General features: G+C 39.7%; 1 protein-coding gene across 7 annotated transcripts in view; it reads right to left on the bottom strand.

The window, feature by feature from the left end:
- The window catches only part of ZNF493 (zinc finger protein 493), a 30,445-nt gene that overhangs the window by 4,754 nt on the left and 11,707 nt on the right, over nucleotides 1–13,984 (bottom strand). Inside the window, exon 2 of one of the 7 annotated variants that reach the window (XM_047438680.1) lies at nucleotides 9,175–9,358. The exons of 5 other annotated variants lie outside the window; for them this stretch is intronic. The gene's annotated coding sequence lies outside the window, so the exon portion shown is untranslated. The remainder of the gene's footprint in view (nucleotides 1–9,174; nucleotides 9,359–13,984) is intronic. One more of the 7 variants, XM_047438681.1, reaches the window with a different exon arrangement.

Genomic DNA, 13,984 nt, shown 5'->3' with positions numbered 1-13,984 from the left:
CATAAACCAGATAGCATAGCAAAATACCAAAGGCTCTAATTCTTTATATGTAATGAAAACATACTAACCAAAATATATCTGAGAAAAAATTATAAATGAGTTAAGTGTTTGAAGTACCCCAGGTGAGCACAAAGTCACACAGAAGGGAAAAGCAAATGTTTGTTACATTTACCCAACATGGCTATTCCTGCTTCCCAATATAACATAATGCCTTTAGAAGTAAATTCCCAGCCAAGTGCAGTGGCTCAAGCTGTAACCTCAGCTACTTGGGAGGCTAAGGTACCAGTGAACCAAGATTGCACCATTGCACTACAGCCTGGGGAACAGAGTGAGAATACATCTCAAAAAAAAAAAATTATAAAAATAAATAAATAAATAAATAAATAAATAAATAAATAAAGAAGTAACTTGCCAACTTTTGATTTTGTTAAAAAAAAAAAAAGACTAGTAAAATACTGGCTCAAATTTCTTTATTACTTGCTTGTCCAGGCCTTTCCACACACTGGCTTCTGTCTTCTATGATATATAGTGCAGAAAGAAATGGTGGTATACTTTGGAATGACAGTTTGAGTCTGCTGAGACCAAAGGTAAATGTTACAGCAGTAGAGAGACTGCAGTGCCACAGAAAGAAAACAGGTGTAGCAAGTGATTACTGAGTATTAAGAAAAAAGATGACTAGGGGCCAGGTGCAGTGGCTCATGCACATAATCCCAGCACTTTGCGAGGCCTAGGCGGGTGGATCACGAGTTCAAGAGATTAAGACTATGCTGGCCAAAATGGTGAAACCCCATCTCTACTGAAAATACAAAACTTAGCTGGGCATGGTGGCACTTATCTGTAGTCCTAGCTATTCAGGAGGCTGTGGCAGGAGAATTGCTTGAATCTGGGAGGCGGAGGTTGCAGTGAACTGAGATCGTGCCACTGCACTCCTGCCTCATGACAGACTGAGACTCCATCTCCAAAAAAAAAGATGAATAATTTCCTTTAACTAAAAAATAAACACAAAATTTCAGACAAGACACACTCAAAGAACATGTTTGAGAGACTCTCAGAATCTCTAACTCAGACAATTGTTCAAAGTATGCCAGGAGAAAGCCATATTACAAAGATTGTGACAGGTAACTTTTTAATGTTCAAATTTTTATAAAAGATTACAATGTGGCCAGGTGCAGTAGCTCACACCTGTAATCCCACACTTTGGGAGGCTGAGGTGGGTGGATCACCTGAGGTCACGAGTTTGACACCAGCCTGATCAACATGGAGAAACCCTGTCTCTACTAAAAATACAAAATTAGTCTGGCATGGTGGCAGGCACCTGTAATCCCATCTACTTGGGAGTCTGAGGCAGGAGAATTGCTTGAACCTGGGAGGTGGAAGTTGTGGTGGGTGGAGATCATGCCATTGCACCCCAGCCTGGGCAACAAGTGCAAAACTCTATCTCAAAAATAAAATAAAATAAAAATTTGAGGAAGAAACAATAAAAAATGAAATAAATTCAGTAACACTCAATGAGTGAAATATGAACACAGAGAACTACAGAAAATCAGAAAACTGGAAATAAGAACAAAAATATTTAAAACATTAGTAAACAAATTAGGGAGGTAAAAAAATATAAAAAAACCCTGAAAAATCTTGAAAAATGATGTAAAAATAAAAAAGCTCAACAAACAAACTAGGATACAAGCAAAGATATTTATATCAAACACATATGTAAGCAAAATTGTAAAAGTCACAGAAAAGGGAATCTTGGGAGCTGCAACATAAAAGTGATGTGTTGGCTGGGTGCAGCAGCTCATGCCTGTAATCCCAGCACTTTGGGAGGCCAAGGCATGCCAACAACCTGAGGTCGGGAGTTCAAGACCAGCCTGACCAACATGGGGGAACCCATCTCTACTAAAAATACAAACTTTGCTGTGTGATGGTGCCTGCCTGTAATCCCAGCCACTCGGGGGGCTGAGGCAGGAGAATTGCCTGAACAAAGGAGGCAGGGGTTGCAGTGAGCTGAGATCACACCATTGCACTTAGCCTGGGCAACAATAGCAAAACTTCGTCTCAAAAAAAAAAAAAAAAAGTGTTATTTGCAAGAATACTCTTATGAGATAGCAAGTGGATTCTCAAGAAAAATTTTGCAGGCCAGAAGGATATTGTGTGATATAGTCAAAGTTCTGAAAAAAAAAAAAAAAAAAAAAAAAAAAAAAAATATATATATATATATATATATATATATATATAATCAAGTGAGTATAATACCATCACAAAATCTGTCCTGCTAAATAAAAAGAAAAAAAAACTTCAAAAATAAATGAATTCTAAAGAAGTATATTGGCACTGCCTTATATATAAAAGGCGCTGAAGGCAGTTGCTTCCAATGTAAATAACAAGACTCAACAAAACAACATATAATCATATTAAAATACATTATTTTCTGGGAAAGATATGCACATACACAAAAATAAATTTCTTAGCACAAAGAATACATCTATATAGATACACAAAACAAAATAAGGAAGAAGTAAAAGCATATAAAATAAAAATAAAGAAGACACAAAGAGACAGAAAATGTGGGACAAAGATACAAGAATCAAATAGAACAATAAATTAACATTAGTAAATCTCTTTGTTTCAGAAAACTTTGTGTCTGTACAGGCAGAAGAGATTATAATCAGGAGGTCCAGAAGCCTGTGTTGGTGAAGGAGACAGGTTCCTGCTACAGATTCAGTGTCTGGGGTTGAGATAAGCCAGAAGTCTTCTAGGCACCTGTGTATATTCTTGGCAGAAAACTCTAGGGGCAAAGCTATTGTGGGCATAATTCCTGAGGGTAAAACCTTGTCCTGGGAGAGGAGTGGCCGTGTCAATTTTTAGTGGGTATGGTCAAGAGTGGGTCAGAATCATGTGGGGGTTGGCACCAAAGTGGGGAGAGGGAATAAGTTCTCAGAACATTTTTACTCTCTCTTCCCTCTCACCCTAGGAGACCCAGAATAGCAGGACAATGTACAATGTGACAGCCTGTGTGCAGAATAAACCCTCACTTCCCTCAGACATCTGAAGTCTCCCTCCAGCCCAGGCCTATGATGGTTAATACTGTCAACTTGATTGAAGGATGCAAAGTATTGATCCTGGGTGTATCTTTGAGTGTTGCCAAGGGAGATTAACATTTGAGTCAGTGGGCTGGAAAAGGCAGACCCACCCTTAATCTGGGTGGGCACCATCTAGTCAGCTGCCAGCACAACCAGCATACAAAAGCAGGCAGGAAAATGTGAAAAGGTTACATTGGCCTAGCCTTCATCTTTCTCCCGTGCTGGATTCTTCCTTCCCTCAAACATCAGACTCCAAGTTCTTCAGTTTTGGGACTCAGACTGACTCTCTTTGCTCCTCAGCTTGCAGACGGCCTGTTGTGGGACCTTGTGATCATGTGAGTTAAAACTAAATAAACTCCCCTTTATACATATATATCTATCCTATTAGTTTTGTCCCTCTAGAGAACCCTAATACAAGGCCCCTGTGGTAGATCTCGTCTGACAAAAAAAGTTGTAGTTTGCTGAACACCAATCAATTATCCAACACCAACTGGCTGTCCAACAACTCAATTCTGACACCACCCAGAGTCAACACAGAATCCACAAGTTCAGGGCTCAGTCCCACAACACTGTCGCAACTACAGATGCCAGTCACATGGCTCTGGATAACCATCTATTTCTGAACTACTGCTAACAAGCCAAGGTCTTCCACATCTTCCTCCTCAAGTTCAATAATTTGAATAATTTGAAAGATTACTCAGAGAACTCAGCAAAGCACTGAGCTTACATGTTGGGAACAGGCCCCCCAAAATCTGGCCAAAAAGTGGCCCCAAAACTGGCCATAAAGAAAATCTCTGCAGCACTGTAACATGTTCATGATGGCCATAACGCCCACGCTGGGAGGTTGTGGGTTTACCAGAATGAGGGCAAGGAACACCTGGCCCACCCAGGAAGGAAAACTGCATAAAGGCATTCTTAAACCACAAAAAAAAGCATGCTCCTGCTGCAGATAACTAGCCCAACCCATCCCTTTATTTTGGCTCATCCCTTCGTTTCCCATAAGGGATACTTTCAGTTAATCTAATATCTCTAGAAACAGTGCTAATGACTGGCTTGCTGTTAATAAATACGTGGGTAAATCTCTGTTCAGGGATCTCAGCTCTGAAGGCTGAGGCCCCTGATTTCCCACTTCACACCTCTATATTTCTGTGTGTGTGTCTTTAATTCCTCTAGTGCCGCTGGGTTAGGGTCTCCCTGACCGAGGTGGTCTCAGCAAGTGGCGTCCATCATGGGGGCTCGAATCCAGGTTGAAGGTCAGTGGAGTGATGGTTGGAGAATGTAGAACTAAGCCGGAGGACACCCAAGTACTCTTAAAGCAATCCCCATGATGAGTAAGAAGGGGAGCTTGGAAGCATCAGGGTAACAATGGGACAAGTGTGTGCTGTGGTTCATTCCACCTTGGAACTTTTTCACACTGATAATGAGGAGGAAGGAGAGTGTAATGAAGTAACAGAAGAGGTTACATATCAGGTTTATTTGCCAGTGAAAGCTAAAGAGGCACAGGAGGGAGAGGTTCATCCCTACCCTTCTACACCCCCTCATTATTATTTTGAAGAAAAAGAGTGGCCTGACCCTCCAGATCTTTCTTTTCCAGAGGACACTGGGTGAAAAGTAGTTGCCCCAGTGACTGTTCGAGCAGTGCCTCGAGCAACTGCTCTTAGTTCCATTCAGGCAGGAATTCAGCAAGCTAGACGAGAGAGTGATATAGAGGCTTGGCAGTTCCTTGTTAGAATACACTCCCCAGATCAATGGTGAAATATTATAGCTACATTTGAGCCTTTTCCTTTTAAATTACTCAAAGAATTTAAACAAGCTATTAATCAGTATGGACTAGGTTCTCCTTTTGTAATAAGACTCTTAAAGAATGTTGCCGTTTCCAGTCTGATGATTCCTACTAACTGGGATGCTCTTACTTGAGCTTGTCTAACTCCTGCCCAGTTCTTACAATTTAAAACTTGGTGGGCAGATGAAGCTTCCATTCAGGCTGCTCGCAATACCCAGGCCCATCCTCAAATTAATATAACTCAGACCAACTTTTGGGGGTTGGCGGCTGGGCTGGTTTAGATGCACAACTGGTCATGCAGGATGATGCCACAGAATAGCTTACAGGAGTGTGTATTACAGCTTGGGAAAAGACCACTTCATGTGGAGAATAATACCCTTCCTTTAGTGCTATAAAACAGGGACCAAAAGAACCGTATATGGATTTTACAGCTTGGTTACAGGAGTCTCTTAAAAAGGTGATTACAGATTCGGCTGCTCAGGATATAGTGTTGCAGTTACTAGCTTTCAACAATGCTAATCCCGATTGCCAGGCTGCTGTGTGACCTATCAGAGGGAAAGCACATTTAGTTGATTATATCCAGGCCTTTGATGGTATTGGAGGTAATCTGCGTAAGGCTACTCTGCTAGCACAGGCAACGACAAGACTGAGAGTGGATAAAGGAAATACTCCATTTCCTGGAGCTTGTTTTAACTGTGGGAAGCATGGTCATACTAAAAAAGAATGTAGAAAAAATCAGCAAGTCAGGCCACCAGATAGGGGAAAAAAGAAAACTACTGAGTCTGAAATATGTCCAAAATGTAAAAAAGGAAAACATTGGGCTAATCAGTGCCACTCTGTTTGATAAAGATGGGAACCTGATTTTGGGAAATGCCATGAGGGGCCTGTCTCAGGCCCCGTTCTAAACTGGGGCATTTCCAGCTCAGGCCATTCCCTCACCCCTGTACAATGTCTGTCCCCCGCCACAGCTGGTAGTGCCACAGTAGACTTATGCTGCAAAACCTGTGAGCCTTCTGCCTTGGGAACCCCCGCTAAAGTTCCCAACAGCAGTCTGTGGACCCTTGCCAGCAGGGACAATAGGAGTTAGCTCTAGGAAGTTCTAGTTTAAGTTTAAAAGGGGTACAAATATATACAGGAGTCACTGATTCAAGACTACAATGGGGAAATTCAAATTGTTATATCTACTTCTGTTCCCTGGAAAGCAGAGCCAGGAGAGCGCATAGCACAGCTCCTGATTGTGCCATAAGTGGGAATGGGAAAAAGTGAAATTAAACGAACAGGAGGATTTGGAAGCACAAATAAACAAGGCAAAGTAGCTTATTGGGTAAATCAAATCACTAGTAAACGTCCTACCTGTGACATAACTATTCAGGGAAAGAAATTTAAAGGTTTGGTAGATACAGGAGTCAACATTTCAATCTTTTCTCTACAGCATTGGCCATCCGCGTGACCAATTCAACCCACTCAATTTAATATAGTTGGAGTTGGTAAAGCCCCTGAAGTATATCGAAGTAGTTATATTTTACATTGTGAAGGGCCCGATGGACAACCTGGGACTATTCAACCAATTATAACTTCTGTACCTATAAATTTATGGGGAAGAGATTTATTACAACAATGGGGAGCACAAGTTCTAATTCCAGAACAATTATATAGCCCTCAAAGAACATACAATGCATGAAATGGGGTATGTCCCTGGTATGGTACTAGAAAAAAAATGTGCAAGGTTTGAAAAAACCACTTCCAGCGGAAAAACAGAGTTCCCGCCAAAGATTAGGATATCATTTTTGATGGCAGCCATTGTTAAGCCTCCAGAACCTATACCTTTAAAATGGTTAACAGATAAGCCAATTTGGATAGAACAATGGCTGCTAAATAAAGAGAAACTGGAGGCTTTAGAGAAATTAGTTACTGAACAATTAGAAAATGGGCACATAGCTCCAACATTTTCCTCTTGGAATTCTCCAGTTTTCATAATTAAGAAAAAATCAGGTAAATGGAGAATGTTAACTGACTTAAGAGCCATCAATTCAGTTATACAACCTATGGGAGCATTACAACCAGGATTGCCTTCTCCTGCTATAATTCCAAAAAATTGGCCTTTAATAGTCATAGATTTAAAAGACTGTTTCTTTACTATCCCTTTATCTGAGCAAGACTGTGAATGGTTTGCATTTACAATTCCTGCAGTAAACAACAACGCTTAGCAGCCTGCTAAGCGTTTTCATTGGAAAATGTTGCCACAAGGCATGTTAAACAGTCCAACAATTTGCCATACATATGTAGGGCAAGTAATTGACCTACTCATAAAATATTTTCACAGTGTTACATTATTCATTATATGGTTGATATACTTTGTGCTGCCGCCACTTGAGAAATATTACTCCAATGTTATGATCCCTTGCAAAATTTGATTTCTTGCACTGGTTTACTTATGGCTCCTGACAAAATTCAGACTACTACTCCCTACTCCTACTTGGGGACCCTAGTAAATGACACTACCATTGTGCCACAGAAAGGAACAATATGTAGGGATCAATTGAAAACATTAAATGACTTTCAAAAATTACTAGGGGGCATTAATTGGATACAATCTGCTCTAGGCATTCCTACCTATGCCATGAGTAATCTGTTTTCTATCCTTAGAGGAAATCCTAGTCTCACTAGCCCTCAGCAATTAACAAAGGAGGCTGAGGGAGAGTTACAACTAATTGAGAAGCAAGTCCATAAAGCTCAAATAAATAGAATAGACCCAGAGAAGACTCTAGATTTGCTAATTTTTTCAACTCAGCATTCACCTACTGGTGTTATTGTCCAAGAACAGGACTTAGTAGAGTGGCTTTTTCTTCCACATACTAATTCATGGACTCTAACTCCTTATTTAAATCAAATCGCTACTGTGATAGGGATTGGGAGAACTCGGATTGTTAAATTACACAGATATGATCCTGGAAAAGTTATTGTCTCTCTCACGAAGGTACAAATACAGCAAGCTTTTATAAATAGTCTTACTTGGCAAACCCATTTAGATGACTTTGTGGGCATTCTCGATAATCATTTTCCTAAAACAAAACTGTTTCAGTTTTTGAAATTAACTAATTGGATTCTCCCTAAAATAACTAAATGTAAACCAATTGAAGGTGCTGAGTATGTTTTTACAGATGGGTTTAGTAATGGTAAAGCTTCTTATTCTGGCTGGAAAAGTAAAGTTTTCCAGACGCCCTATACTTCAGCTCAAAAAGCAGAACTTGTAGCTGCAATTGAGGTATTGACTGCTTTTGATATGCCTATTAATGTGATTTCTGATTCTTCACACGTGGTTCATTCCACACAGTTTATTGAAAATGCTCAGTTACGATTTCATACAGATGAACAACTGATCACTTTATTTACCCAATTGCAAATAGCAGTTAGGAGTACAATGCATCCTTTTTACATCACTCACATTAGGGCTCGCTCATACACCTCTTCCAGGACCTTTGACTGAAGGGAATCAAATGGCCGATTGCCTAGTTGCTAACGCAATATCTAATGCTAGACACTTTCACAATTTAACCCATGTTAATGCCTCTAGTCTCAAATGCAGATACAGCATTACCTGGAAAGAAGCTAAAGCTATTATCCAGCAATGCCCAACTTGCCAAATGGTACATTCCTCATCTTTTACAGGAGGGGTTAATCCTCGAGGATTGGAACCTAACTCTATTTGGCAAATGGATGTCACACATGTTCCCTCATTTGGGAGACTAGCTTATATACATGTATGTGTGGACACCTTTTCTTACTTTGTCTGGGCTACATGCCAATCAGGAGAGTCTTCTGCCTGTGTTAGTTAAACATCACCTTTTGCAGTGTTTTGTGGTGGTGGGCATTCCAGCTTCTATTAAAACAGATAATGCCCCAGGCTATACTAGCCAAGCTCTAGCTACATTTTTCTCTGTGTGGAATATTAAACACATTACCGGTATCCCATACAATTCTCAAGGACAAGCCATAGTGGAAAGAATGAATCTCTCCCTAAAACAGCAGTTGCAGAAGGAGACGGGGGGAAATAGACAATATGTAACCCCACAGATGCTCCTGAATCTAGCATTATTAACTTTAAATTTTTTGAGCCTGCCCAAAGGCCAGATGTTATCAGCAGCTGAACAGCATGTACAGAAACCAGCTGCAAAGAGAGAAGCAGAACAACTGATTTGGTGGAGAGATCCAATAACAAAAAGTTGGCAAATGGGTAAAATAACTTGGGGTAGAGATTATGCTTGTGTTCCTCCAGGCCAAAATCAACAGCTGATTTGGATACCATCAAGATACCTGAAACTTTATCATGAGCCAGATGCTGAGGAAGAGATTCTGGGAGGATCCCGAGGACCCCCTCGTTGCAGCCATGTCAAGATTGATGCTGAGGACAACCCCAAGCGTCACAAGCAACACACGTCGAACACAGCCACCCACCTTGGGACAGATCAAGAAGCTGTCACAGATGGCGGAAGAAAACCTGAAGAAAGTGGGACAACCAGTCACAATGAGCAATTTAATGGTAGCTATGATAGCAGTTATCACCATTGCCATGAGTATTCCTTCAACAAGGGCTGACACAGAGAACAATTATACTTATTGGGCATATTTATCTATCTTGGCTGGTAATAATGCCTGGATGTAATCACTCTATGACACAGTTACACATGCTTTCTTATCTCAGTATTTACCATAATAAATCTGCTCCTATAATTGAGGCATACCGCCCTCAAAAACCTATTTGTAAACAAAATAGTACCTGGCCAGAAAAAATGAATGTACTTCTTTAGAAAGATTGCATTGCAGAACAGGCAGAGGTGCTGCACAATGATTCCCATGGAATCATTATTAGCTGGTCTCCTAAGGGGATGTTTAGCTTAAATTGCACCTCTCAGTCTGTGTGCCACAGCCACACTGTGTTCAGCTGATCTGAACAAAATGGTCAGATGATAGAAATGATAAGAAGTATGGCAAGAGTTCTATTATCTGGAACCATGGCAGTATAGTGGCACCTCGACCTCAAATGATAAGGCCTGCTGTAGGAGCTAAACACAAGGATTTGTGGACACTATTAATAGTTCTTAATAAGATCAAAATTTGGGAAAGAATAAAAAAGCATCTAGAAAGACACTCTACAAAGTTGTTTTTGGATATTGCAAAATTAAAATATTTAAAGCATCCCAAGCACACCTGATGTTAATGCCAAGAACTGGAGTGCTTAATGGAGCTGCAGACAGATTAGCAGCTAGTAACCCATTAAAATGGATAAAAACACTTGGAAGTTCTGTGATTTCAAAGATGATTGTGCTTTTAATCTGTGCTGATAGTCTGCAGATGTGGATCCTGACTCCTGCGAGAAGTAGCTCACCGTGACAAAGCTGCCTTTGCCTTTATTGATTTGCAAATCAAAGAAGAGACATGTTGGGAACAGGCCCCCCAAAATCTGGCCATAAACTGGCCCCAAAACTGGCCATAAACTAAATCTCTGCAGCACTGTGACATGTTCATGATGGCCATAACACCCATGCTGGAAGGCTGTCGGTTTACCGGAATGAGGGCAAGGAATACCTGGCCCACCCAGGGTGGAAGACCACTTAAAGGCATTCTTAAACCATAAACAATAGCAGGAGCCATCTGTGCCTTAAGGACATGCTCCTGCTGCAGATAACTAGCCCAACCCATCCCTTTATTTTGGCCCATCCCTCCATTTCCCATAAGGGATACTTTTAGTTAATCTTTTATAGAAACAATGCTAATGACTGGCTTGCTGTTAATAAATATGTGGGTAAATCTCTGTTTGGGGCTCTCAGCTCCAAACCTTTTCTGATTTCCCACTTCACACCTCTATATTTCTGTGTGTGTGTGTCTTTAATTCCTCTAGCACCGTTGGGTTAGGGTCTCCCCGACTGAGCTGGTCTCGGCAGTATAAGATAGAGAAAAAAAATGTACAAATACATAGAAATTAAACAACACACTCTTCAGCATGCTCCTGTTCAAAATTTGAAATATTTTGAAGATGTCCATAATGCTCAATGTAATCTACAGATTTAATGCAATGTGAGATTGAGGGAGGAGAATTGCCTGAAACCAAAAGGCAGAGGATACAGTAAGCTGAGATTCAGCCACTGTACTCTTGCTTGGGTGAAAGAGCAAAACTCCATCTCAAAAAAAAAAAAAATTACAATAGCACAGTTTTATTGCAAAAACATTAACTTTTTTTTTTTTTGAGATGGAGTCTCACTCTGTCACCCAGGCTGGAGTGCAGTGGAGGGATCTCAGCTCACTGCAACCTCTGCCTCCTGGGTTCAAGCAATTCTCCCACCTCAGCCTCCCAAGTAGCTGGGACTACAGGCGCACGCCACCACACCCTGCTAATTTTTTGTATTTTAGTAGAGACGGGGTTTCACTTTGTTGCCCAGGCTGGTTGCAAACTCCTGAGCTCAGGCAATCTGCTCGCCTCAGCCTCCCAAACTGTTGGGATTACAGGTGTGAGACAGCGCACCCAACCTGCTTAACATTTTATAATTTGATTATAAACTATAACTAGCAAAACACTCATAAAAAAGAACAGAGAGACATTATACTTTCTGATTTCAAAACACATTAAAAGCTACAATAACAAAAAGTGTGATACTTACACAAAGATAAAAAGATGAAAGAACAGAACAGAGAGCCCAGAAATGAAGCCTTCTGTATATGATTACATGATCTTTTGCAAAGTTGCCATGAGCACACGATACAGAAAAGATAATTTTCTCAAAAAATAATGTTAAAAACATCAACACTGATGAAATACAGTTACATCATTTTTAAAAACTATATTCACAAAATTTACAAAAAAATTCCGTAGACATGAGGCCAGGGGTGGTGGCTCATGTCTGTAATCCTAGCACTTTGGGAGGCCAAGGCAGGTGGATCACCTGAGGTCAGGAGTTCCAGACCAGCCTGACCAACATGGAGAAACCGTCTCTACAAAAAATACAAAATTAGCTGGGTATGGTGATGCATGCCTGTAATCCCAGCTACTTGGGAGGCTGAGGGAGGAGAACTGCTTGAACTTGGAAGACAGAAGTTGCCGTGACCCAACATCATCCCATTGCACTCCAGCCTAGGCAACAAGAGTGAAACTCCATCTCAAAAAACAAAAACAAAAACAAAAACAAAAAAACTTAGACATGAAAAAGTAATAAATCTCTTAGAAAAAAGAAATAATATGAGTCTTGGCACCATTTTCTTAGATATGATATTAAATGCATGAACAACAAAGAAAAAAACAGAAAAATGTAACTACACTATACTTGAAAATTTCCGCACATTAAGAAAATTCAAAAATCATATGTGATAGTAGTTAATATTCATAACATATGAACTCTTAAAACTGAACAATAAAGCTAAATTAATTTATAGATGAGCAAATAATTGAACAAAATTTTCATCAGAAAAGATACACATATAGAAAAAGAGCATTTGAAATGACACAGAAAATTAATACTTTGTAGAGAAACACACGAAAATAACAATGAAAAAATTGCCTCACACCCATTACAATGGCCACTATAAAATTTTAAGCACACCAAATATGTTGATGATGCAATAAAAATGAAACCTATGTTGATTGTTAGTAGAAAACAAAGATACAATCATTATTTTAAAATGTTATGTTTCTCAAATAATTAAAAATGGAATTATCATCAAATACAGCAATCCCATTTATGAATTTATAGTCAAAATATGCAACAGAAGACCTGGAAGACCTATTAGAACATCCATGTTTATTGTACCCGTATTCACAAAAGCCAAAGGGCTGAAACAACTCAGATGTCTCTTGATTTATAAACACATCAAAAGTGTTGCATATATATATATATATATATATATATATATACACACAATGAAATATTATTCAGTCTTAAAGAAGAAAATATTGTCACATTTTAAGATAAACTTTGCAAATATTATGTCACCTATATGCCAGAAACAAAATGATGAATACTGTATGATTCCGCTTATATATCTTAAGTAGTCACACTTATAAAAACAGAAATTGGAAGGGTGTTTGCCAAGGGCTGGGAAGAGGGTAAATGCGTTGTTGTTACTTAATGGGTACTGGGTTTTAGTTTCACAAGATGTAAAACTTTTAGAAGTCTTTTGCATAACAATGTGAATATACTTAACATGCCTGAAATATACAGCTTCTTTTTGAGACAGGGTCTCACTCTGTCACCCAAGCTGACATGAAGTGGCACAATTAAGGGTCACTTCAGCCTCAAACTTCCAGGCTCAAGTAATCCTCCCCTCTCAATCTCCCAAGTAGCTGGAACCACAGGTGCATACCACCACGCCTGGCTATTTTTAAAAAATTTTTGTAAAGAGAGACTCTTCATATGTTGCCCAGGCTGGTCTGACACTTTTGGGCTCAAGTGATCTTCCTGTTTTGGACTCCCAAATTTCTGAAATTACAGATGTGAGCCACCCACATGTTGGGCCATGAAATGTACACTTAAATAGATTTAAGATGCTAAATTTTATGTGTTTTTACAACAATTAATTTTCTAACAGAAAAACTGAAAAAAATAAAGAATTATAAATCTTTTCAAAAATTACCTTCAAATCCCAGAAGTGTTTCTCTTACACAAAGGGAATATATATTCATGATTAAACACATCATGAAAATAAGAAATGGTGAAAATATTTACATGACTACACATTTAGACAAGATAAAACAACCACTGAAAACCAGCTAAGAAAGAATATATACAAGAGGCAGGGTGCAGTGGCTCACATCTCTGATCCCAGCACTTTGGGAGGCTGAGGCAGGCAGATCACGAGGTCAGGAGATCGAGACCATCCTGGCTAATATGGTGAAACCCCGTCTCTGCTAAAAATACAAAAAATTAGCCAGGCGTGGTTGCAGGCGCCTGTAGTCCCAGCTACTTGGGAGGCTGAGGCAGGAGAATGACGTGAACCCGGGAGGAGGAGGTTGCAGTGAGCCGAGATTGTTCCACTGCACACTCCAGCCTGGGCGACAGAGCGAGACTCCACCTTAAAAAAAAAAAAAAAAAAAGAAAGAAAGAAAGAATATATACAAGATAAGCCATAACCAATA

The sequence above is a fragment of the Homo sapiens genome, chromosome 19 (assembly GCF_000001405.40).
Source record: "Homo sapiens chromosome 19, GRCh38.p14 Primary Assembly".
NCBI lineage: Eukaryota > Metazoa > Chordata > Mammalia > Primates > Hominidae > Homo > Homo sapiens.
This window is presented reverse-complemented; position numbering and strand designations above follow the sequence as displayed.